The sequence below is a fragment of the Homo sapiens genome, chromosome X, assembly GCF_000001405.40.
Source record: "Homo sapiens chromosome X, GRCh38.p14 Primary Assembly".
Lineage (NCBI taxonomy): Eukaryota > Metazoa > Chordata > Mammalia > Primates > Hominidae > Homo > Homo sapiens.
In genome coordinates this window covers 115,210,814-115,237,438 of record NC_000023.11, presented here as the reverse complement: position 1 = coordinate 115,237,438, position 26,625 = coordinate 115,210,814, and the positions used below count along the sequence as shown (strand labels likewise).

General features: G+C 37.6%; 1 protein-coding gene across 4 annotated transcripts in view; it reads left to right on the top strand.

The window, feature by feature from the left end:
• LRCH2 (leucine rich repeats and calponin homology domain containing 2) overlaps nt 3,343-26,625 on the top strand; it is a 123,481-nt gene continuing 100,198 nt past the window's right edge. For all 4 annotated transcript variants that reach the window (XM_006724724.4, NM_001243963.2, NM_020871.4 and 1 more), the window contains exon 1: nt 3,343-3,746. In XM_006724724.4, the coding sequence (XP_006724787.2) occupies nt 3,398-3,746 (349 nt within the window). In that variant the 5' untranslated portion in view covers nt 3,343-3,397. The remainder of the gene's footprint in view (nt 3,747-26,625) is intronic.

Genomic DNA, 26,625 nt, shown 5'->3' with positions numbered 1-26,625 from the left:
GATAGGTGAAGGAGGATCAGAGATGCTGTATATAGTATGTGGTAAATTATGCTAAAACACATTAATGTATAGTCCTTTACAAGGCTCCATGAAAGAACAGGGATTTTGGAAGAGACTGAAGATCAAGTTACTAGACAGAGGAGGGCCAAGTGAATTTCCTCCTCCTTATCTCTAATCATTTTGTATGCATTTCTCAAGGCTTTCTCTAATTCAAGACTGTGCTGAGATTGGAGTGAGCAGAACTGCATATCTCATTCCAGCTGCAGCTCACTCCAATAGTTTAGTATGGGGTAAACCAACATGTTTTCTCAGGTTTTTCATACATGTTTTGATGACACCCAACATTTCGTTTTTCCCCCTAAAGTTAGCATTTAGTTGAGCTGATGTTTTCAAAAAACAGACTACAGAGATTTTCATGTTTTTTTCCTGGGTCTTGATCAAGATTTTTAAAAATTCGTAATATACTTTGAGCTATTTAATCTCCAAGTTGGTTGCCTTTTTCTGGATCCTGAGCTAAAACATATCTCACATTTGATTTATTTACAGATTAGTAAGAACATCCTGTACTTTAGCCCAATAATCTTGACCTTTAATAGAATTTGTAGCTTTGGACATTTGGTTGTGCCTTTCTTTCTCCATATATTTATAAGTGTTTGTTTGGAATAGCAGTGACTATAAACTGGCCTGGAATTTCAGAAATCCTCTCTAGAGTTCTTTTGAACAGAAACTACATTTGGAGTCTGCCAGTGATTTAGTAGAGGCTGCATGTTTTGTTCAAAACTCCCCTACTTTCCCTCTGTTCTCCTTGTATAATCTTTGGTATATGTCATATAGTTGGTGACTTACCAACATACATTTCATAAGTTTGGCTTGGATAATTCTGACTGCTGGCTGTAATTCAACCAGTTACCAATGTGTCATTTCAGGGACTGCATTGCAGTGGTAATCAATGTAAAATATCCTCTAGTATAGACTGAATCAAAAAATTCATGCAATATGTCAGATAATGTCTTTACCCACAGTTATCAGGACATTTACTAATTTTTTCCTTGGCGTCCTACATTTTGAATGTTCTTTATTATTTTAGTTTTTGAAGGAGTAGAGGTGTAGTAAAGAGATTAACACTTATTGAGTGCCCAATGCTATAGTATTACTGGCATGGAGAGTTTCTGGCACAGAGTAATTGCTCCTTAAATGCTTATTAAATGAATAAATGAATGTCAGGTATGTGCCTGCCACTTTACATGTATGACTTTATTTATTCCTACAACAATCATATAGTAGGTATGTACTATTTTCCCTCATCTATAAAATGGAAGAATAATAGTACCTACTTTACAAGGTTGTTATGAGGATCGATAGACAAGTAAGTATATACAAAGCACTCCCTGGCAAGTAGCAAGCACTTTAAAAATATTATTATTATTATTATTTTCCATTGTTACATATGAAGACACTGAAGTACTGAGCTTTTAAGCCACTTTCCCAAGTATTACACAGGGAGTTAAAAGTTCAGAATAAATTTCTAAACTTTATGCCCTCTCTTCTAAATCTTTTGGCCTTGGTGTTCTTGTCAAAGAGCTCTACAACATGTTATTTTGTCTGATTTTAAGGTATACATAGCTTACTTAATAAGCGTCCCATTTTCTTAGATTATCTTTCAACTTTTTGAAAAATTATTTTCCTTCTTAAATTTGGCTGTACATGCCTTTTTTCACTGGACAGGTATCCTGATAGGACATATTTTTCCTGGAGTCCAATACATTGTTTTAAATAATTGCAAAAATTCTCATTGGCTAATTATTAAAATATTTTCTTTCCTAATCTTTTCTCTAATGAACTTAGTGTCCTTTCTCATTCATCTTAATTCTGAAGTTCTCAATTAATTATGAATTATGAATTAATAATTTGATTTAAGATATAAGGAAGATGAGATATAAGGTGCAACATGCCTTTTTGACACCGGTGTGTTTTAATAATTTATCTCACTTGCTAATTCACTATACAGAGTCTGATTCTCTGTTTTCTTCCTTCTGGGTCATGCATATGGTGAATGTAATTTCTCATGACATAATCATTTTAGTTAACCAGTATAGCCACAAATCAATTTAGACAAGTTGTAATTCTTTCCTGTAATCTTTTATAAAGTAGAGCCTATGGCAGATATACTTTTTTGAAGTGGAGATTTCTCTTAAAAAATGAGGCTGTTGACACATTGCTCAAATTGAAATAGGTGTAAAAGAGATACATAGGATACTCAATGATAAGTGAATATGTCCAAGCATTCTGATAGTTTTCTTCATCAACTTTACTGAATACTAGAGAAAAAGATTTGAATGACTATGATTGAGAGTGGAGAGGGTAGTGGGTAAAGGGATGGCAGTGGCCTAAATGGTTGGGTGATAAACTCGGCTAGATAGTCTGGGGTTAAATTATGGAGGCCTGGAATGCCAGATAAAGGACTTTGAACTTTCTTCTCTATGTCTTCTACATTAAAAATATCTTCAGGTTCTGAGAATGAACTCCTAAAATTCAAGATCGATTGGCTTCATAATACCCAGGGTTAAATCTTCAGAATTCCATCTAAAAACAAAACCTGTATTTCAGAAATAACTTAAGATTGTTTGATGATCAAAGAGATTTTCATCAGGCAGTACTGACACGATGAGAAGAAACTAGAGGTATTTTGGAGATCTTGGCACAACTTCAAAGAGTGATAGAACAGAATGTGGATAACTCTTCCAAGTTTTGGAAGGCAACAGTCTGGCTGAGACTTACATACATTGAAACGAGAGGCTTCCTTGAAAACATTTTACAAATCTTTTCCTATTATAGAATTCTAAACTATGGAGAAATTCATATATGCCCCAAACTCAACACTGCACTCATTTCCCTCCCCAAGTGACTCCCCAGCGTTTCTCTAACACTGGTAAAGGATTCCTGAGGCATTTGCAGTAAGCTTCTCAATAAGCTGCCCCATAGCCCTTCTAAGTGCTGTTTCTGTATATTCTGAAACGAATCCCTTTCATCCCTAGCTCATATATTTGTTTCTGTTTTGCAGAACGGAAACAGTGAAGCAACTTAGAGAGTTGGGGACATACAGCCCAGATGACCTATAGTTCGCCTGGTGTCGTTTCGCAAGACTTTGGTACCCAAAGCAGCAGAACCGGGATTTAGCATCCTTCTTATCATACATTTCTTAAAGCAAGCGTTCTGCACTTTCAAACATCATCTTTTCTCTATCCAACACCTCCTCCCAGCCCGCCCCCTGGTTCCTTCCCACTCTCTACCTCGCCCCCCACCCCCCGCCCCCAGTCTGCGCATGCGTCCTAAGAACCCCTTACACTCGCGGCACAGGCTGACAGTATTGTCGGGGGCTATTCTCTCTCCCAGGAACATGGCGGCGAGTCAGGGAGGAGGCGGTAACAGTGGGGGCGGCGGTTGTGGTGGAGGTGGAAGTAGCGGTGGCTGTGGCACGGCTGGAGGGGGAGGTGGCGGGGCTGGAGGGGGAGGCGGCGGCGGCGGCGGGACCCTGGTGGTCCCCATCCCGGTACCGACTCTTTTCGGTCAGCCGTTCCCCAACGGGCCGCCGTGGAACCCGGGGAGCCTGCAGCCTCAGCACACCGTGAGGAGCCTGGACCGGGCCCTGGAAGAGGCGGGCAGCTCCGGCATCCTGAGCCTCAGTGGTCGGAAACTCCGAGACTTCCCGGGCAGCGGCTACGACCTGACGGACACCACCCAAGCAGGTGACAGGACGGGGGGAGGGGAAGCTGGCTGTGAAGGAGGAGGTGCGGGGAGTGGGTGGCTGCGTGGCTGCGTTGTTGGACTCTGCGGGTCTGGGCGGGTGCGCGGGGACCGCCAGACTAACAAAGTCGGGGCAGCCCGTTCTCCTGAACGTGAGGGGCGAATCAAGCAATAGGGGAGGGGAGGAATGCTGCCTGAAGGATGTATAGAAACTGGTAGGATGTTAGGGGTGAAAGAGCATCATTGTTAAAGCAAGTTTCCCCAGTTTGGGTGGGAGGGAGTCATTGACACCTTCCTTAATGCACTTCTTTCAACTCTCCTGGATCTTCCCGTCTTTCCCGGAAAACCAAACCCAACCAAACTAAACGAAACACAAAAATCATAATCTCTACATATTCCTTAAAGGCATACGTGCCTGAAAGAATGGCATATCCTTTTTCAGAGTACAGCAGCAGGATTGCCATGGTTTTTCTGTGTGGTTTAATCATCCTACGATATTCTTGGCTTCTTTCTTGTCACGTATGCCTTTAAAGACTGAGATTTTTCATTTTCCTGGTGTTGAGAAGGTAGTGGTGGTTAAATTAGTATTTGCTGCAGTGGTAAATTAAATCATCAATCACTTACATGTCTGCTTACTAGAAGAAAGCTAATCCTTGTTTTGAGTTATCTTAGAGTCTTAATTTTTATAGTAGAAAGCCAACAATTTTAAGGGTATTTTTGAGAAAAAATTATCTCCATTCTTTATGGAGTTGTGGATTAAAGGTTTATCACTTTGGGTGAGAAATTGGCTATTGTAATGTTCTTCATATACTCTCTGGTAGTCTTTGTTGTGGCTGGCATTTTTTGTTAGGGACACACTCTCTTATAAACCAATGCTGGATTATTTTAGATATGTCTTGATTTGATGAAAGGTTTTTTTTTACTTTTTATAATCTTTAAATTTGTTATTTATTTCTGTTTTCATCTGCTTTGCTGAAATAAATCTGGACAAAATTATTTTAATAGATGTCGTCATTTTGAAACAATATAGTAAGTAAATTCACCCATAATGAGGAGTAGTAAAATACCACTTATTTTCAAAACAAGACAATTTCAGATGTATTCAGTTTTTAGATCTTAAATCAAGGTATTTGTGTTGGAACAAAGTGGGGAGAGGAGGAAAACCTAAAATTGAAGCTTTCCACCCAGTGATTCTTTTAGCAATGATCCTAAGAACTATGAATGTGTAATCGACCACTGATTTTATATTTTGTAAAGCATGTTGGAGTATTTACTCCTTCACTCAGAACAGATTTCCTAAATAATATGTTCACATATTCATGACTGTTAGCAAGATATTATGCAACTTGGTGTGTTCTTCAAAGGCTTCAAGTAAAACAGTTTCAGACTGCATCATTATAGTGATTTTTTTCTTTTCTTCTTCTTCCTCTTTTTTTTTTTTTTCTTATTGTTCTTTCTAACCTATAAAGGATCCTTCTACCTGCAGGACAAAGTTTAAGCATCCTAGCTTGGCATTCAGGACTTTCATTGTTGGGCTCCACTTTATTGTTGCAACCTTATTCCCCAAAATGCTCCCACATAGAATCCTCTCTTCCAACTAGGTCAACTCTCTGTCTCTCAAATACATTTTGTGCATTTCTGCCTCATCTTTGTACAAGATCATCTGTATGCTTGGGATTTCCCTCTTTTCTCCGTCTATTTAATTTTATTGAAGCCCCAGCTCTTCCAAGAAATTGTCTCCAACTCCCTTAGTCCACAAGAATCTCCTGTTTCTTTGAATTCCCATGGTACTTATTGTCTTTACCACTTACTTGGCAGTGCTGGTTTTATTTTCTTTTTATGTTTCTGTCTTGCTATCCCTGAGAAGAAATAGAGCCCCTTAAAAGGCAGGGTGTAAGCCATATACTTGTTCAGTCTTCTTATTATATATCCCCTTTATTGTATTTGATAATATTTCTCATAAATATGAATATCATCTGATGCAGTTACAGCCTTTGGCTTTTAAGCCTTCAGTTGGTTTTCTGAGGCAAGCTTCAACACAAAGCAGAACCATATCTGTTCATGGTAAACATTCATTCATCATAAGTTTCATTTTACTTTTTCTCTTCAGTTGAATGAGCATTTCTTGTGGGAACATTTCAAAAATCAGAGTAAACAAGATCTTGTGCTGCTCTTTTTTTTCATTTAAATTAGATATCTTTGGGTGACTCATTTGCCATTTGTTTTTGATAAAATTTAGCCACGAAATTTTTAGGGGCAGTATTTTTTAATGTAGAGAGACCACTATTCATTATGTGTAAATGACGGCAGGTACATTGGAACTGAAGAAAAATAGAGTGTGTTTGAGATTATACATACATATGTACATACATACACACACATACATACAGGAACACACATACAGTATATTCTCTATTTGATGAAAATGATCTGTTTGGTGATCTTGTTATACTTAAAATGACTCAGTGGAATACTGTTTCAGAACCAAACCGATTAGTTAGACAAGCATTCCTTATTGCATTAGGAAGAGACAAGAGGAAGGGAAAATAGCTAAGAAGCGGTTAATGTTAATCTAGGTGAGAGGTGGTGAGAATCTGGGTGAAACAATATTGAATAAGGAGAAATTAATACATTTCAAAATAAATGGGGGAAGGTTTTTTTACATTAAGATGAAATAGACCCCTGGTTCTCCACCCTGGCTGCACATTACAATTGCAAGGGAGATTTTTTGTTTGTTTTTTCAACCCTGCCTGGATCCCACCCTAGACCAATTAAATCAGAATCTCAGGGGCCAAGGAACTTAAGGAAAAAAAATCTTCCCAGGTAATTCTAATATGCACTCAGGGCTGAGAAACCCTAAAATTGTTTATTTTTTAAGCACTCAAGAAATATTTGTTCTTTGAGTGAATAAGAACATTGATAAAAGTTTAGTTATTAACCTTAAAGCCACTTGTCAAGAAAGTCAAAACCAAAACTAGGAACTAAATACTCAAAAATTGTTTCAAATTGTTTGATAAATTTACGTGAAGAAAATGATGCCCCCTAAACATGTAGCAGCAAAATCTTTTCTCTGCTAACAGGCTTCCTATGAGGGAAAATGTATTTTAGGCAGCTGTTTGCAGAGTTTATCTTTGGTGTCTTTTTACCTCTCTCTGCATTTCTAGTGTCTGTTCTTCACTTGCCTCCTCCCTTTGTCCCCATCACACTTTTCTCCTTTCTCTTTCTCTCTTCAACCTCACTCCTCTTACTTTATTGGGATAGAGCTCAGGTAAATGATTATGGCAGCCTCTCTAGGAGATTAACATTTAAAAGGGGGAGTTTGCTAATTTACTTGAATCTCCAATTGGTGATTGGAGATTCATGACCTTTTTGAGTAGATCTCCCTTCCAGATACTCCTTGATTAAAATTTTCACCCACATAAGGACATAAAACAGTGATCAGAAAGTTGGTAACCCATTTCAGTAAAGTAGCTGACTCTTGCTGTAATGTCTTCTCCGAGATGGTCTGTAGATAGATTTGACAAGATGAAGGGAAATTGCATAGAACTTTTTGGTCCATCTGGATACTATGATAATTTGTTGACTTGAAAGTGAATTTAATTGTTACCCAAACAAATCCTGAAACCTTGCATAGTTGACTCTGTCACCAGTGCTACAAATAAGTGGATATGTTTCAGCGTACTTGCTGCTGCTCCCTCTGCTTCTTTATACCTGTTTATGTACATGAGCAGTAGGTCTGTGAAACAGATTTAGGAATTCTTACATCAGATTCTGCCGTGTCCTGGATAATCACGTGTTTTCCTGTAAACCAGGAGTCAACTCTAGTATTTCCTACATGTGCTGGTTCACCTTTTCAACTGTAGGGCATGGTGCATTGTATCAGGTTGTAAAATGGAGCCAGATAAACACAGCATTTGATTTTGTGAGGTGAAGGTCCTCTCAGTGCATTTAGTGGAATGAGCTCATGATTGTGATTTTGTGGCCTTATTCAAATATCTGCCTTGCTTCATTTAATAAATGTCTTCCTGAAAAATCGAATGTGAAGCACATTTTTGACAGTTGACTCATATTTTAATTGCTATAGATTGAATCTGAATTACTGAACCTTGTACTGATTTATTCAGTGATAAGTTCTACAGCATACTTATCCCTTAATTTCTTTCATTTAAAATAAAATGTTATCTTTAATTGAAGGGTACATTCATCATTAAGATAATACCATTTATACAGCTCTTTATACATTTTTAAGTACTTTCATATATATTATCCTATTGTATCCTAATAATAACCCTGTGAGCTTGGCAGAGTACATAGTAATTGCTCGTTGTGGTTGAGAGACAGGTTAAGTGATTTGTCCAAAGTTAAATGGTGAGTCTGGCAGAGTGTGTGGGTCAGAGCCTAGGTTTTTCAACTCCAGTGCTATCCTAATGTTATTTCCAGTGTAACACATTCTCTCTTTATAAAAAAGCAGTTATTAAACACCATGCCAATAAATAGGTTATTTATTCTGAAAATTCAATGCTTATTTAACTTCGTAGGTTATATACTTTTTGTTTGTGGTATGGTGTGTTTTGTTTTGTGTGTATTTGCATAGCTATCATGCCTCTCTTATGGTTTTAGAATAGATTCATTAAGCAAGCATTTATTGAACTCCTACTTTGGAAACATGATTATGGCTAATAAAAAGAGACATGGTTTTTGTACTTAAAGGATTTATACAATAGTCAAATGTATACAGTAATATAACCATTAGAAAAGAATTTCACTATAATATATAATAGTATTCAAAATAATATATTTTAATATACTGTACACATAAGAGATCTGGAACTGTGGCATAAGGCTTAATTTTAGAGGGGATTAATTTAGTTTGAGAAAGCTTCCTGAAAAGTTAGGTTAGGTATTTGTTGCATGACAGGTATAAGAACAGAAGTGGTTGATTGGGATGTTTTAAAATTGGGGTTAGTGGAATACTTTTGCTTAAGGTTTAAATTTAATATTTCAATTTAGATTATTTGTGATATAAATTCTGAAGCATTTATTTGGCATGAAGGTAGACAAGATCCAGAACCTCACTGAGAACATAAGAAGTAATGCTAGGGACACTTACTACAAATAAAGATAATTGAAGACTTACAAAATTGATTTGCTGGGAGGTGCCATTTGTTTAAGTTCCTAGGCACACAGTGAAACTTTGCAAAAGAGGCATCTTGTTCTCCCAGCCCAGCCTAGCAGCCCACTCTGTGAGATGCCTTAACTGCATGATACACACCTCCCCATTCTGCAGAGGCTAGTGATCATCATGACCTAGAAAGGGAAATATTTTAGTTTTCTTTTTTTCTCTACACTTTGAGTGTATTTGGGTGCTTCTTAAAACATTGTAATACTCTTATAATCAGTTATCTGGAAAGTTTCAGAAAGGGTTGTCTGCTTCTCATTTACAGAAAAAAAAATACCTTACACGCCAGGGAACCATTTAATGTAATTAAAGAAAACTGTATAAGCCAATTTAATAACAATGTAAGTTTATGTTTACTCTCACTTTCAGCTAGTGCACTCAATCTGCTAAAGGTCAAACTGTAATGTTTAATCTTTACATTTCTCTTGTTTCATGTAAATAGATAGCATTCCATTAACAGAATACCTGTCAATGGACTGTAATGGATAATTCAACAGTAGATATTTTCTAATGTATTTTTTATATCAAATTCTTTGAGGAAAAGTTTTTTCCAAATAGGAAAGTAAGTTCTTTCCTTTTCAGGAACACTTGATTCTGTGTAGTCTTTTCTAATTTGTGACAGAGAATGTTGTCACTTTATTTTTAGATTAATTACTTGTCTCAGTAGAATATTAGAGATTCAAGGTGACAAGAGACAGGTATAAGATAACTGTGACATAAACTTTTCTTTGAACCATATGGAGATGAACTGATTCTAGAACATTTGTGAATTTGGATTTCACTCAGAAATGGCTTTTTGTTAATGATTATGTTCCTAAGAGAATCTAGTATGTATAGTCTAGAGTTTTTCACTTCTTAAAAAAATAATTGCAATACGTAAATCCTTAGTATTTTGAGCTACTTGGTTGGGGATGTCTATGTCAATGGGAAATAATTACATTTAAAGGTTTTTGTGAATTAGAAATAGTAAATTAAACATAGATGACTGTGTCCTTAAACTACCTTAATGAGTATGTAAGAATGGATTTGTCATATAGATATTTTGTAAAGGTTGTAAAGTTGCTGCTTTCAGTGAGTTAATGATTTCATAATGGTTTAAAATAAGAACTCATATACCTATTATATCCTAGATCAGTAGTTCTCATTGTGGGGAAGGGTAGGGTTGGAGAGGTTGCCTCCAGAGGATATTTGACAGTATCTGGAGACTTTTTTTTTTTTTTTTAAGAGACAAGGCCTTGCTATGTTGCCCTGGCTATGTTGCCTGGGCTGGAATATAGTGGCTGTTCACAGGCTCTAACTCGGGGGCTCAAGTGATCCTCCTGTCTCAGCCTGCTGAGTAGCTTGGACTATAGTCCTGCAGCACCACACCTGGCTGAAGACATTTTTGATTATCACAATTTGGGGGTTGCTACTGACATCTAGTGGGTAGAGGCAAGGGATGCTGCCAAGCATCCTACATTGAAAAGGACAGCCCCATACAACAAAGACTTAACTTGTCTAAAATGTCCATGGTGCCAAGGTTGAGAAACCCTGGGTTAGAGTAAGATAAATGGAAAGTGCAGCATAGGTTCAAAGAGGGAGGGATAACATTTGATTTGGTCGTTTGAACAGCAGAGGGGGGCTTTATAAAGAAGTTGGAGGATTGGCCTTTAGAGAGGAGGCATCAGATTTTATAGTTATTCTTAGATGGAGGAAACTACATGAATGCTGATATCTCAGAGTCTCCTCAAACTCAATATGTCAAATAATGAACTCTCGTTATTCACCCTAGGCCCCCTTGTCACCCAGATCTAAAACTTGGGAGTTATTCTCCACTCTTCCCTTTCCCTCAGCCTCTATATCTAGTGAGGGACTAAGGCCTGTTGGTCATAACTCTTTGAATAGCTTTCAGATCAGTTTCATTCCTTTCTATTCTCAATGTCATTGTTCAGATTCTCCTCTATTCCTTACCTTTAACTGGACCTGTCAGTAGTTTTCTAAATGATCTCTCTGTCTCAAGTTTTCTTCAACTTAAATTAGTTAGTCCTCCACACTGTAGCTAAACCATTCTTTCTAATATGCAAATCTGATTGTCATGTGTTACTAAAACAATGTTACTAAAACACCTTCAAGCCAGTAGCCAGTTTTCAAGCCGTACGTTTCAAAATCTTATTTCCTTATTCCTTGTTTTGAACATTAAAAAAAGTAATACATACACTATGTTTTATTTAACTGTGGTAATTTTTATATTTTATTAGTTAAAATTAAATTGCTAAGATTCATCCAAATTGTTATGTAAAACTGTGGTTCATTCTTTTGGATGGCTGTGTTATCTTGCATCATGTGAATATACCATCTTTATTCACTTTCTCACTGATAGCCATTTTCATTCCCCCCTCCTCCTTTTTCTCTTGGGAATAGCACTACTATCATTATTATACATGTCTCTTGTACTTGTGCAAGGATTTCTCTTGTGTATATACTTGAAAATGGAATTGCTGGGTTGTATAGTATGTCAGTGTTCAAACCGATTTATCATTTCTGTTTCCATTGACATGTATAGGAGATCCTATGAATCTATGTGCCCTCCAAAACAGTACTGTCAAATTTAAAAATTTTGACCAAGTGTGTTTAAAAAGGTATTTCGATGAAGTCTTTCTTGATTTACATTCCCCTGATCACGAATGATGTTAACCTTTCTTCAGATGTCTGTTGGTCATATGTCTTTCCTGTACTGTGAAATAGCTTTTCATTTATTTTGCCCATTTTCTGTTGGTTGGTTGTCCTTTTTTAAAAAATAGAATTCTATGGGTTTAAAAAAATACTCCTTATACTAATCATTTGTTTTGTATATTTTGAATATCTTGTTTATAACTTGCCTTTTTGCTCTTTGAGGGGTGTTTTGATGGACAAATTTGTAAATTTTAATACAGCCAAATGTATCAATCTTGAATTTTGTAGTCAATGATTTCTGTGTCCTGTTTAAGAATATGTAAAATATATTCATCTACATTTTTTACTAAGAGTTTTAGTTTTGTTTTTGGTATTAAAGTTCTTAATTCATATGGAATCGATTTTTATGTATAGCACGAGGTGGAGTTCCATGTTCCTGTTTTTACATATGGATTATCTTTTTTCAGATCCATCCTTACCTATGTTGGGGCTCAGAAAACAATACCCCCAAATGAAGGCCTCAGCAGCAGCCTCAGAAGCAGAAGTTTTGCACTGACTTTGTCCTGCCCTCCTGTCTCTCTGTCCCATTCTCCTCCAAGGCTAGCCGTAGAAACTAGAATCCCTCTTCCCCAAGGAGGATCACAGAAGCCAGAACCCCTTTTCCTGAAAGCCAGCCATAAGACCTAAAAATATTACTCTAATTTCCCCTCTGCCTTTCTGTGTAAAAACTGGACACAAAGAAATGATCTAACCTACCTTGTTTGACTGTAGGTCTTAAGACCCCCATTCCAGAGAGGGCCCTGCCCCACAGTCAGAAGGAAGGAATACAGGCTCAGAGAGGCCTAGAAGAATCTATTTAATAGGCAGACAGGCCTTGCTAGGTTTCCCCACTCAGTCTGTCAGCTTTAGAATATATTCTTTTTGGCCAATCATATTTCTGCACAGCTGGGCTGTCCATACTTTGTTGAACCTAAGCATAAAATAGGCAATTCCTCCTTTGGGTCTTAATTCTGAAGGCTCCCATATATATACTTTAAGTAAACTTGTATGCCTTTTCTGCTTTTAATCAATCTGCCTCATTTCAGTGATTTTTCAGTGAAATTGTGAAACTTTAGGGACCAAGGGCCTTGGCTTCTGTATCTACTTCTTTTCTCCCTTTCTTTTTTCTTTTTTTTTTTTTTTGACAGAGTCTCGCTGTATTGCCAAGGCTGGAGTACAGTGGCACAATCACGGCTCACTGCAGCCTCAACCTCCCAGGCTCAAGTGATCCTCCTACCTCAGCCTCCCGAGTAGCTGGGACCACAGGGGTGTGCTACCATGCACAGCTAATTTTTGTATTTTTTTGTAGAGACAGGGTTTCATCATGTTGCCCAGGCTGGTCTTGAACTTCTGGACTCAGGTGACCCACCTGCCTTGGCCTCCCAAAGTGCTGGGATTACAGGGGTGAGCCACTGCACCTGGCCTACTTCTTTTCTTTTTAACATTTTATTGAGAGTTCACAGACCAAAAGTGGACCAATTTAAAGTATATTGTTGATTGGTTGTTAGCTGTGCACCCATCACTATAATTTAGTTTTGGAATATTTTCATCTCCCCCTGAAAGAAATCCTGTACAAATAAATCCCTTTCCATTCTCCCTGCCTCCTCCCCAACCAATCAAACCCTAGGCAACCATTCATCTATTTTCTGTCTCTATAGATTTACCCCATCTGTACATTTTATGTAAATGACTTAATTCAGGATGTGACCTTTTATGATTGGCTTCTTTAACTTACTATGTTTTCAAAGTTCATTTATGTTGTAGCATGTACCAGTATTATGAGAATTCCAATTTTTTTTGCATTCTCAGCAGCAGTTGTTTTTATCTTTTTGTTTATAGCCATCCTAGTGGGTATGAGGCAGTATTTCTTTCCTTCTTCTTCTTCTTTTTTTTTTTTCGAGACCGAGTTTCGTTCTTGTCGCCCAGGCTGGAGTGCAGTGATGCAATCTCGGCTCACTGCAACCTCCGCCTCCTGGGCTCAAGCGATTCTCCTGCCTCAGCCTCCTGAGTAGCTATGATTACAGGCGTGTGCCACCATGCCTGGCTAATTTTTGTATTTTTTTTTTTTTCCAGTAGAGACGGGGTTTCACCATGTTGGCCAGGCTGGTCTTGAACTCCTGATCTCAGGTGATCCACCTGCCTCAGCTTCCCAGAGTGTTGGGATTACAAGCGTGAGCCACCGTGCCCAGCGTGAGTCAGGATTTCATTGTGGATTTGATTTGACTTTTCCTCATGACTAATGATGTTGAACATCTTTTCATGTGCTTATTGACTATTTGTATATTTTCATAAGCAAAATGTCTATTAGGACCCTTTGTCCATTTACTAATTGGGGTGTCTTTTCATTACTGAGTTGTAAGAGGTTTTTTTAAAAAAAAAATTCTATATTCAAGTTTTTTATCAGATATATCACTTGCAAATATTTCTTTCCTATTCTGTTGGTTCATCTACTCTGAAACACAAAATTAAAACATACTGATATCACCTATTTTATCTATTTTCTTATGTTGCTTGTGCTTTTTGTGTCATGTCTAAGGAAGCATTGCCTAACCCAGGGTCAGAACGATTTATCCTTATGTATTCTGAGTTTATAGTTTTAGCTCTTTCATTTTTTTACATTTAGCTTTACTGCTTATTTAAGTTGATTTTTGTGTGTCATGTAAGATCAGGGTCCAACTTCATTCTTTTACATGTGGGTATCTAGTTGTCCTAGCACCATTTTTTGAAAAGGTCATTTTTTTCTTCATCTGATTGTCTTGTGACCCTTGTTTAAAATCAGTTGACCATAAATGTCAAGATTTATTTCTGAACTCTCAATTGTATTTCATTGATCTATATTTCTGTTCTTAACCCAATACCACACTGTATTGATTATTGTAGCTGTGCAGTAAGTTTGGTAATTGGGAAGTGTGAATTTTCCGACATTTTTTTCAAGATTTTTGGGGCTATTCTGGGACCCTTGCATGAATTTCAGGATAAGCTACACAATTTCTTTGGAAAATGCAGAATGCAAGTTGGGATTTTGAAAAGGAGTGTGTTGAATCATCAATTTGGGGGAATTTTGCCATCTTATCAATATTAAGTTGTCCAATCCATGAATAGGGGATGTCTTTTCATTTATTTATATCTTTAATGTCTTTTAACAATTATTTTGTAGTTTCCTATTTTTAGTTTTTGATGTTGTTGTAATTGGAATTTTAAAAATTTAGTTTTTGGATTGTTCATTGCTAGTGTGTAGAAATACAATTGATTTTTATAAGTGATCATTTATCCTTCAACCTTGCTGAACTTGTTTCTTCTAGTAGTCTTTTAAATGGATTCATTAGGGTGTTCTATGTCATGTCATCTGCAAATAGAGATAGTTTTACTTCTTTTCAAATCTGGAGCCTTTTATTTCTGTTTCTTGCCTAATTGTCCCCGTTAGAACTTCTAGTTTCAATAATGTTAAGCAGATGCTGTGAAAGTGGACATTCTTGTTTTGTTCTTGAATTTAGGGGGAATATATTCAGTCTTTAACCATTAAATATAATGTTAGCTCTGTTTTTTTCGGTAAATGGTCTTTATCAGGTGGAAGAAATTCCCTTCTATACCTGGCTTTTCAAATGTTTTTATCATGAAAGGGTGTTGAATTTTGTCAAAGGCTTTTTCTGTTCTATCGAGTTAATCATATGGTTTTTGTCCTTTGTTGTATTAACATGGTATATAATATTGTTTGGTTTTTGAATATAAGATGACCCCACTTTGCATTCCTGACCTACCTGCACTTCAGTTTAGTCTCATACTGCCTCGGACCTCTACATTCCAGCCTATCAAACTATAATATGTGCTGCTCGTTGAAAGTATCATGCTGTTCGATGCCTCAGGGTTTTTCTTTTTTTTTTTTTTTCCTGTTAATATCCTTCTTTGGCTTTCCACCTTGTGAACTCCTATTGATTCTTTGTATCCCAGATCAGGCCTTTATCTTTTCCCTTTCCCCTCATCTTCTACATAACAGTGATTACTCTATACCTCTATTATAGCCGCTGTGATTTTGTATTGCAGTGAATATATTTCCTTCACCCTAGTATGCACCATCAATTTAATAACTTTTCTGACAAATAAACACCACTTCAGTAAATGCATACATAGATTTCAAAAATGTTAGCATTAGAAGAAAATATGCATTGTTGAATTAAAGAAATATGGGTTATTTGTTTGCATTTCCCTTTTTATTGGTTTTAGAGTTATTTGAGTATAGTGACTTTGTTGCCACTCCAGTAGCTAGTAGTACAGTGTGTGGTACATAGTAGTTGTTTAGCATATTTTGTTCAATTAAGCCTGCTTCTTCCCATGGGTGCCTTTTTGAGTCCCTGCACAATTTGTCCCTTTGGTTTTCCTCTGTGTTTTCCACTACTTCATAAATATATACCCTGTTCTTCAGGGTGTATATCTGAACCCCTCATTGTTTTCCTGATTTTTGTTTTTATTGTTTTGTTATTTTTAAAAATGAAAAAAATTAGAAAAAAGACATATCTTGTTATTGCTTCATAAGCAGATATATGAGTATTAAACTTTAACAGTTTGGAAATTTGCTGTAGTTTATATATATATATATATATATATATATATATATATTTTTTTTTTTTTTTTTTTTTTTTTTTTTTTTGTTAAGATGGAGTCTTGCTCTGTTGCCCAGACTGGAGTGCAGTGGCGTGATCTCGGCTTACTGCAAGCTCTGCCTCCCAGGTTCACGCCATTCTCCTGCCTCAGCCTCCCGAGTAGCTGGGACTACAGGTGCCCGCCACCACGCCCAGCTAATTTTTTTTGTATTTTTAGTAGAGACAGGGTTTCACCATGGTCTCGATCTCCTGACCTCGTGATCCACCCGCCTCGGCCTCCCAAAGTGCTGGGATTACAGGCGTGAGCCACTGCGCCTGGCCGGTTTTTATATATTCTTATACTATGCCGCTAGATATGTTTTTATTTTAGAGTAGCTGGCCGTTTAAAAATATTTAGGTTAGCGCTTCATTAAAATTGATTTGAAAGTACTGTTTATGATGTTAAATAAGATTGACATTGAAAATACTACATTACAAAATGTTTTGAGGATTAATATGTTCTTTTAACAAATTCTATTTTGAAAATCACGTTTGTAGATGAAGTCCAGGAAAAATTTAGAGATAAATGGACATTTCATGATTAGGTTTAGGAGTTTTCTCGGTAGTATAGCTCTGAATTGTTTAAAATTGTGTTTTAGCATGTCTTGGTCTTACTTTGTCCTCTTACTGTCTGCTCTCCTCCATTAGCCATGTGCAAAGTTAAGATCCCAGGATCTGCTACCTTTCAGTTACGAAGTTTATCATCCTTAGTAGGATCAGAGCTTAAAGGCACTCACAACAGCTCTCTGTATTCACTGCTTCTTCTCTTGCAAAAAGCCTCATCACTTAATGAATGACTAAACTTTCTCACATTTATCAATATAATATTGTTGCCTTAAACATCTTTCCATTGTAGTCTATTGTATACTCTTCTTCTACATTGTTCTTTCAGAAAGTTTTCCTTATGCCACCATTCCACTGAAGAAAAATGTATGGATGCACCATAACTTATTTAACCATTCCTCTATCATTAGATGTTTAAGTTACTGTTTAATATTAATAAACAACCAGGTGTAATTGTGCTCCTGGCTTTACATTGCTTTCTCCCCAGAGAAATTTAAACTTCTTTAGGACAGATAATGCATTCTCTATATAAATTCTCGACAGTGTTTGGTTCAATGCTATGACTCTCTGAAATAGTTTATAATAGATGCTTCTCAAATTTTTAAACTTTATGGGAAAGAGTGTGACAATTTTATATACTGACTTCCTATACTATTTGTGTGTAGGACAATGCCTCTGCCATGGTGCCTTGGTGATCTTGCATGTACCCACATAGGCCACATAGGCAAGGCTCAACCACAATCTGTCTCAAGTCTTGGGGGAATACTCTGTGATCCTCCTTGATACATGGTAAGATAGACTTGTGAGGAGCTGTCACAAGGCCATTTCCTATCCACCTCTGTATCTTACAGGAGGCGGCCTCAAGGCAGCTTATTATCTCCTATTTTCATTTTGGTAAGGCATGGGAGTTTCCTTCAGGCACAGTTGTGACTATAAAATGACATAGCTGCAGTCTAGAATTGACTCCTCAACAACAGAGCAACCCACTGTGTGTGTTGTCTTTCATTTAGTCCCTCCAGTTTGGGTTTCTCTTGTAGGACTAGGGACATGGGGAGCTGATACCATACTGATCATGCCTTCTCTGCCTGTGTTAGTAATAAACCATCTGAATCCATTTGGTCTTGTCTTACTGGCAGCTGCCGCCGTGCTGATGTGTAGGGGCTGCTTGACCACTTAATGTAAACAAATGGGATTTTTTTTTTTTCCAGTTTGTGGAATTTGTCATTACTTTTTAATTGGTCAATTTATTGTAAATTGCTTTTAATTTCAGGATTCAGTGGTTAGTGCTTTGCTATCAAATAGCTCAGGTAAGGATGGTCCTTGCTCTGTAAATACAGTATTATTTTAGGGGGTACAGCATGCAGCTATAAAATTAGTCTTAATCTGAATAAATCAAAGATAAAGCAATTAGTTTTGTTTAGTACAGTGGCCTGCACTTGGTTTTCTTTTTTCTTCCTCTCTTCTCAAGGACTACTTTTGTTTTGCAATCTGAAGCCTGCTTAAGTTGTCCTGGAGAGTCAGTTGGATGCAGACCTTTCTCGTATTATATTAGACTTTCCTTTCTCATGCAGTAGAAAGGTACTAAGGTATCTTAACATGCAAATAAAATGTATATTGTATACACAGATCTACCTGATTTTCAGTGGCTGGTTGACCTTGACCTAGGCAGAAAGATCAAAGTCAAACTGTTGCCAGTGGAGGGTGTCCAGGTTCTTGGTGTTTTGAACAAAGAATTGGACAAAATGCACAAAGCAAGGAAAGAATGAAGCAGCAAAAGCTGAGATTTATCGAAAGGGAAAGTACACTCTACAGGGTGGCAGCAGGCCGAGCAGCCTCTCACAGCCCCGATACAGAATGTTCTTGGGTCCAAATACCCTGCTAGAGGATTCCCATTGGCCACTTTGTGTTTACCTCATATAAATGAAGTGATGGCCTGCAATCAATCTGATTGGTTGCAGAAAGCGATGAAACAGAGCCTAAAGTGAAGTTACAAAGCTGCACTGCTATGTTAACGAAGACTTGGCGTGCAATCAGTCTGATTGGTTGCAAAAAACAAACAATCAGAGGCTGAAGTTACAAAGTTATACGCCTATGCAAAAGTCTGATTGGTTACAGAAAGCAACCAATCAGAGGTACTTTCTATTTCCCATCTGCCATGCAGAAATAGTGGGGGTTTGCCAAGGGGCTAGTCTCTGGTCCTTTTGTTACTTAGGTGTGGAAAGTTAGGGTTTTCCTTTCAGTTTAGTTCTAGGAAGTCAGCGTGAAACGGCCCTGCCTCCAGATCCTATACTCCTGCCTCAAAACTAATTGAACATCATCAATTCTGATGTACTAGACATGGTTAAGATACATGTTTTGCCATTGGTTACTTCATTAATCAGAATAATCATAACAATTCAGATATTAGGGGTTTTTTTTGGTTTAAAAAATGTTACATGAAAGCATGATTTTGTTGAATTAATTAATTAATTAACTTTTTTATTCTTTGAGACGGGGGCTCCCTCTGTTGCCCAGGCTGGAGTGCAGTGGTCCAATCTTGGCTCACTGCAACCCCATCAAAAACTGAGCGAAGGATATGAACAGACACTTCTCAAAAGAAGACATTTATGCAGCCAACAAACATAAGAAAAAAAGTTCATCATCACAGGTCATTAGAGAAATGCAAATCAAAACCACAATGAGATACCATTTCATGCCAGTTAGAATGGTGATCATTAAAAAGTCAGGAAACAGCAGATGCTGGAGAGGATGTGGAGAAATAGGAACACTTTTACACTGTTGGTGGGAGTGTAAATTAGTTCAACCATTGTGGAAGACAGTGTGGCAATTCCTCAAGGATCTAGAACCAGAAATACCATTTGACCCAGCAATCCCATTACTGGGTATATAACCGAAGCATTATAAATCATTCTACTATAAAGAGACATGCACACGTACGTTTATTGCAGCACTGTTCACAATAGCAAAGACTTGGAACCAATCCAAATGTCCATCAGTGATAGATTGGATAAAGAAAATGTGGCACATATATACCATGGAATACTATATAGCCATAAAAAAGGATGAGTTCATGTCCTTTGCAGGAACATGGATGAAGCTGGAAACCATCATTCTCAGCAAAGTAACACAGGAACAGAAAACCAAACACTGCACGTTCCCACTCATAAGTGGGAGTTGAACAATGAGAACACATGGACACAGGGAGGGGAACATCACACACTGGGGCCTGTTGTGGGGTGGGAGGCCAGGGGAGGGATAGCATTAGGAGAAATACCTAATGTAGATGATGGGTTGATGGGTGCTGCAAACCACCATGGCACTTGTATACCTATGTAACAAACCTGCACGTTCTGCCCATGTATCCCAGAACTTAAAGTATAATAAAAAAATTGTTATGAGTTTGGGGGTACAAGTGTAGTTTTGTTACATGGATATATTACATAGTGATGAAGTCTAGACTATTAGTGTAACCATCACTCGAATAGCGTACATTATACCCATTAGGTAGTTTCTCACCCCTCAACCCGCTCCTACCTTCCTACATTTCTGAGTCTCAGGGTTCTGCAGGTACATAGAAGTTGCCAGGTTTTCTTGCCATCCTCGCCATTCGAAATTCAGTTCTGTACATCTGCCTATATTCGTTGTGATAGTGCTTCGCTTTTTCATAGATAACCTTCCTCCTTGCCTTTTGAAGTATGTTTTGGGCAAACTTCTTTCTCAGGCACTTGATCTTCAGTTCTGTAAAATTCCTTTACTTTTTCTTAAGGGTTTCTGGCACAGCAGGAACCTTCTTCATCTTCTCTTCTACACCCTCCATGGTTCCAGCTGGAAAAAGAGGATGATTTCTTTTCTTTTGGGTAGATACCTAATAGTGGGATTGCCAGATGGAATGGTAGTTCTATTTTTAGTTCTTTGACAAATCGTCATACTGTTTTCCCCAGGGGTTGTACTAATTTACATTCTCACTAACAATATATAAGCGTTCTCCTTTCTCCATATCCTCACCAACTGTTATTTTTTGACTTTTTAGTAATAGCCATTCTGACTGGTGTAGGGTGGTACATTGGCTGTCTCAAAATTTTGTCTGTTTTAATTTGCATTTCTCTGATGCTTAGTGATGTTGAGTATTTCTTCATTTCATATTTTTCATTTTTTCATATGCTTCTTGGCCATTTGTATGCATACAACAAAAGCGGTGCTTGCTTATTGTAGAACATTTGGAAAATAGAAGCATAGGGAAAAAAATACAAATTGCTTCTCATTCCAGCAACCTTGAATAAACATTAATATTTTGGTATATTTCCTTTATATTCCCAACACTCATCATCTTGCACATACCTGTAGGTCTTTATAAATTTATGTATGGTCTTTAAAGAAAACTATTGCTGCACTTGGTGTATATAGTTTTACATTTTAAATACTCTAGTTATTATACTGTGAGCATATTTCCATACTAAGGAATCGAGTCTATAATATGATTTTTAAAGGCTACAGGATATTCCATGTTAAAGATATAAAAATTTGTTTAGCCTTTATCTTATTGTTGGACATTTAAGTTGTTTCTAATTTTTACTATTTTAAATAATCCTGAAATATGCATATTTTTTACATATCTCTATTAGGTTTCAATCAAAAATTGCTATTAATTGAATTATTGGATCAATTATTATGAACAGTTTTAAGGACCTTGATTCACTTTGCCAAATTGCACTTCAGAGAAGTTACCTCATTTTGTATTCCCACCAATGATGTATGGAAGTGCCTAATTCAAAATAGCCTTGCCAACACCAAGTGATAGTTTTAAAACCTTTAAATTTGATTAATGAATTATGTTTTTTTTTTTTTTTTTTTTTTGAGATGGAGTCTTGCTCTGTCACCCATGTCACCCAGGCTAGAGTTTTGTGGTGCGATCTTGGCTCACTACAACCTCTGTCTCCTGGGTTCAAGTGATTCTCCTGCCTTAGCCTCCTGGGTAGCTGGGACTACAGGCACACGGCACCTCACTTGGCTAATTTTTTATTTTTATTTTTTGTATTTTTAGTAGAGACGGGGTTTCATCACGTTGGCTAGTGTGGTCTTGAACTCCTGACCTCAAGTGATCCTCCGGCATTGACCTCCCAAAGTGCTGAGAATACAGACGTGAGCCACTGCACCTGGCCAAATTATGTTATCATAATTTTTACGTTTATTTTGATTACAGTGAGGTTGAAGATATTTTCATATGCGTCTTGGTCGTTGATAGTTTTCATTTTGAAACTGTTTATGTCCTTGGCCCAGGTTTTATCTATGAGTTGTTGGTATCTTTTTGCTTTTTGATAGACTGAAGTTTTTCCTTCTTTTTATGTAACTTAACCTAGAAATCTTTCATGTGTGAATTCTTTCTTTATATTAACACTTTGAAACTCCTTCCCCATTCTAATATTAGGTGACTAGTCACTATAATGTTTTTCTTAAAGCTTCATTTTCATGTTTATCTTTTTCTTCCATCTGGATTTTATTTTAGTAAAAGTTATGTGATAAAGCAATAGTATTTGTCTTGAAAATATAGTTATTCAATAGCCATTTAATAAGTAATACTACATTGATTTGAAATGACAAATTTATAATACATTTTATAATGGTTGAAGTATAGTGCCATTCTTAAATATCTCTTTGATGTTTGAATGCTGTTACAGTGATTCATTAGTCATTATTTCTTGGTGAAACTGAAAAACTTACTAGAATTTCCTACAGATAACTGCATAGAGCTGCCCCTCCCTCTTCTTTTAAATAAGGTCTTGTCTTTCCATGTGGCTTAATTGTTGCGAGACTCACAGTCCTTTCCTTACTGAGCATGCACGTATCTGCCCTCTGGTTAGCAGCTGTGGTTTCCCCTTGCAATATCTGTTTTTGTTTGCACCTTTGCTTCTCAAGGTTCCTGTGCTGAAAATGAGCCTTTCATTACTGGTTGCTTCAGGTCGGTGAGATCTCCTTGTTATTGTTTATCATAATTGTTAACTTTGAAGCATTTTTTTCCTTCATTTTTTCCAATGTCTACAAGTTGTTTTTTTCTCTCTGCTGCACTTATGGTTAAAATTTTAATTCATCATGGAGTAGCTTAGAAATTCTGTAATCCATACATCTTACTTGTTCAACAAGGTCTCAGTGTTATAGACTGTTCATTATTTTGTCCTGCACAACACCCTTCTAGGGAATACTGAATCAAGAAATCACCTGTCTTTGCAGAGGGCATCTGTTGAGGCAGATGCCAGAGCCATGGGGTTGTCATTTCCCATCAGGCTCCATCCAGTATCAGTCTCTAATACTTCAAAGACACTTTCCATCCTTGCATCCGACAGACAGCTGTGGTGCCTTCTGTTTTCTTGCTGCTTTTGTTTCTAGTCTTAACAGTTCTTTTAGATAGAAAAATAGATGAGGAATTGCTAACATTTGAGAACATATTAATCAGATTTTACATACTGTAATTGTGCTCAAATTTGAGTAATAATAGTTACCAAAGAACAGAGAACATTTAATTTTTTCATTTTCATGTTAGGAAATAAGTATCTGAGTTGGCTGATTTTATGCACTCTCCTGAAGACATATTTCTGCTATATATTTTTTATGTTACAAGAAATGAATATAATGGTCTAATTTCCATCATTTTATTTTCTATCTTTATGAACATTACCTATCATTATGTACAAGTTGACAATTTTCCCTTCATTTCTATTGATTATTTCTTCTAGGGATTTTAGGTTGTTGCAGAATATTTAGTCATTACCAATAGCTCTGAAATAGGAATTAAGTGATTTTGGCACTATTTAATAGGTAGTAGTAGATTCAGAAATGCAGTTCAGATCAAGTCTAGTGTTCATCTCCCCTCTTTTTTAGTCAGTAAGACTTCTGTGAACTTTGAGACATACCCCAAGGATGATGCTGTATTGGTCTAGCCCCAAGAGCTTTATATTATAGAAACTACAATTTTAGTAGAACTAAATGGAGGTGATTCTTTTTGCATTCTTTCACTGAAGTGTTACTATCTAAGCAGGTATTATTTGGTGTTGGAGTGGAATAAGAATTGATATTACCTAGAGTTGGTGTCTGGTTGAGCTTTTGATTTACCCTAACATCTCATGCTTAGTTTATAGTTAATGTTTAATGGAATTTTGTCAAATGGATGATAAAGGCTGTGAGTCAAGTCAGGATGCTACCTGGCAAATATGGAGAATGAGGCTTGGAAGGTGAGGATCAGAATTTGCTTGCCTCTATCACAGACTCTGGAAATGCAGGACGACAGATAATTTGATATTAAGATATTTGAATATTTTACCTTGTATGTTTTCCGTGGTTAGGCTGCAACTTCTAAGCCCTGCTGGAAAAGGAATGGTACTGTTCAAAGACAGTTCACCATGGCTTCATGTTTCTGCGCATCTTACAAGTGAGACACTAACTGCCCTGTGTTCTGAACTTTATTTTCAATGATGTTGGTACAGTGAACAGCTTTGCAAGATAAACCTACTGTTTGCCTTCAAAACAAAGTGCAGACTGGACGCAGTGGCTCACACCTGTAATCCCAACACTCTAGGAGGCCAAGGCAGGAGGATTGCTTGAGCCCAGGAGTTTGAGACCAGCCTGGGCAACATAGCAAGACCCTGTCCTTTTTTTTTTTATGAGACAAGGTCTTGCTCTGTCTCCCAGGCTGGAGTGCAGTGGCACAATCGGCTCACCACAGCCTCAACCTCCCCAGGCTCAGGTGATCCTCCTGCCTCAGCCTCCGAAGTAGCTGGGACTATAGGTCCATGCCACTACACTCGGCTATTTTTTTGTATTTTTTGTAGAAATGGGGTTTTGCCATGTTGCCCAGGCTGGTCTCAAGCTCCTAGACTCAAGCAATCCACCCTCCTCGGCCTCCCAAAGTGTTGGGATTGTAGATATGAGCCACTGCCCCCACCCAAGACCCTGTCTCTTAAAAAAAATAGCCAAGCTTGGTGGTGCATGCTTGTAGTCCCAGCTACTTAGGAGGCTGAGGCAATAGCACTGCTTTAGCCTGGGAGGTCAAGGCTGCCGTGAGCTGTGATCACACCACTGCACTCCAGCCTGGGCGACAAAGCAAGATACTGTCTTAAAAAGCAAACAAAGAAAACAGAAACAAACCAAAGCAAAGGGCAGATTTGCTTGCATCCTTGGACAAATTAGATAGTATTTCTCTCCAAAGCAAAAGATAATCATGCTTAATGTTGAATAAAATAAAGATAATGTCTCCCTTAGAATAAAAGGCAGGCATGCTTACTATGATAAAAGATTTGGGTTCCCTCAGCTCAGGTTCCTTTCCTATAATGTGATAATACTGCATGTGCATGCATCCATCTGGGCCCATCAGTGTTGCCCCCATGAGATTTTGGGGAGTACGGGGAACTGACCCAAATATACTGTTCATGCCATTTGCTGTGCTGTGAGCAATAAAGGCCTCTGTCTCTCACACGGGAGTCTCATGTCTTCTGCTAGCATCTATACAACAGTGTTAGGCTAACATACTGGCTTACAAGTAGGGCAAAATCCGACCCTTCAGAGTTCTTGACAGGTACTCAGCACAATGCTTTTGGCTATAAGATGTTATCCTCCTTTAGACAAAATTTGTTTGACTAATTTTCTTTAATCCTTGTTTATTGAATTGGTTAAAAATATTGAAAAGTAATAAGAGCCCATCTCTTTAAGGGGCCAAGAAAGCTGTGTGTCATCTCAGATGAAACAATTTTGAATTGGTAAATTGGGAAAAGCTGAGGGCTTTATAATGGTGTTCATTATTCTCTAAAACAAAAATTGAACCTAGAAGTAAGATTTACATTCTGCCTCCTATTGCAAGAAGCAATCTTGGGGGGGTGTGTGGATGTTGTTAGATTTAGAATTCTTCTGACCCTGGTGTGTGGTTGCAGTGGGACAGAATATTTGAGATGTGGGACAGAAGGCCACAGTAGTGTGTTAAAGGAGTGGAAAATCACACATAGAACATAGGCTTTGAAGACACATGAGTTTGGAACCCCAGTGCTGTCAGTTATTACTAGCTTTTCATTTTTTTTACCTTTGGGAAGGCATGTCATTCAGTCTATCTTTGCTTCATATGTGTATTAGTCTGTTTTCACGCTGCTGATAAAGACATACCCGAGACTGGGCAATTTACAAAAGAAAGAAATTTGTTGGACTTACAGTTCCACGTGGCTGGGGAGGCTTCACAATCATGGCAGAAGGTGAAAGGCACTTGTCACATGGTGGCAGACAAGAGAAGAGAGCTTGTGCAGGGAACCTCCCCTTTTTAAAACCAGCAGATCTAATGAGACTTACTCACTATCATGAGAACAGCACGGGAAATACCTGCCCCTATGATTCAATTATTTCCCACCAGTTCCCTCCCACAACACATGGGAATTCAAGATGAGATTTGAGTGAGAACACGGCCAAACCATATAATTCTGCCCTTGACTCCTCCCAAATCTCATGTCCTCACATTTCAAAACCAATCATACCTTCCCAACAGTCACACAAAGTCTTAACTCATTTCAGCATTAACTCAAAAGTCCACAGTCCAAAGTCTCACCTGAGACAAGGCAAGACCCTTTCGGCTATGAGCCTGTAAAATGAAAAGCAAGTTAGTTACTTCCTAGATACAATGGGGATACAGGCATCGGGTAAATACAGCCATTCCAAATGGGAGAATTTGGCCAAAACTAAGGGGTTACAGGCCTTGTGCAAGTTTGAAATCCAGTGGGGGAGTCAAATCTTAAAGCTCCAGAATGATCTCCTTTGACTCCATGTCTCACATCCAGGTCACGC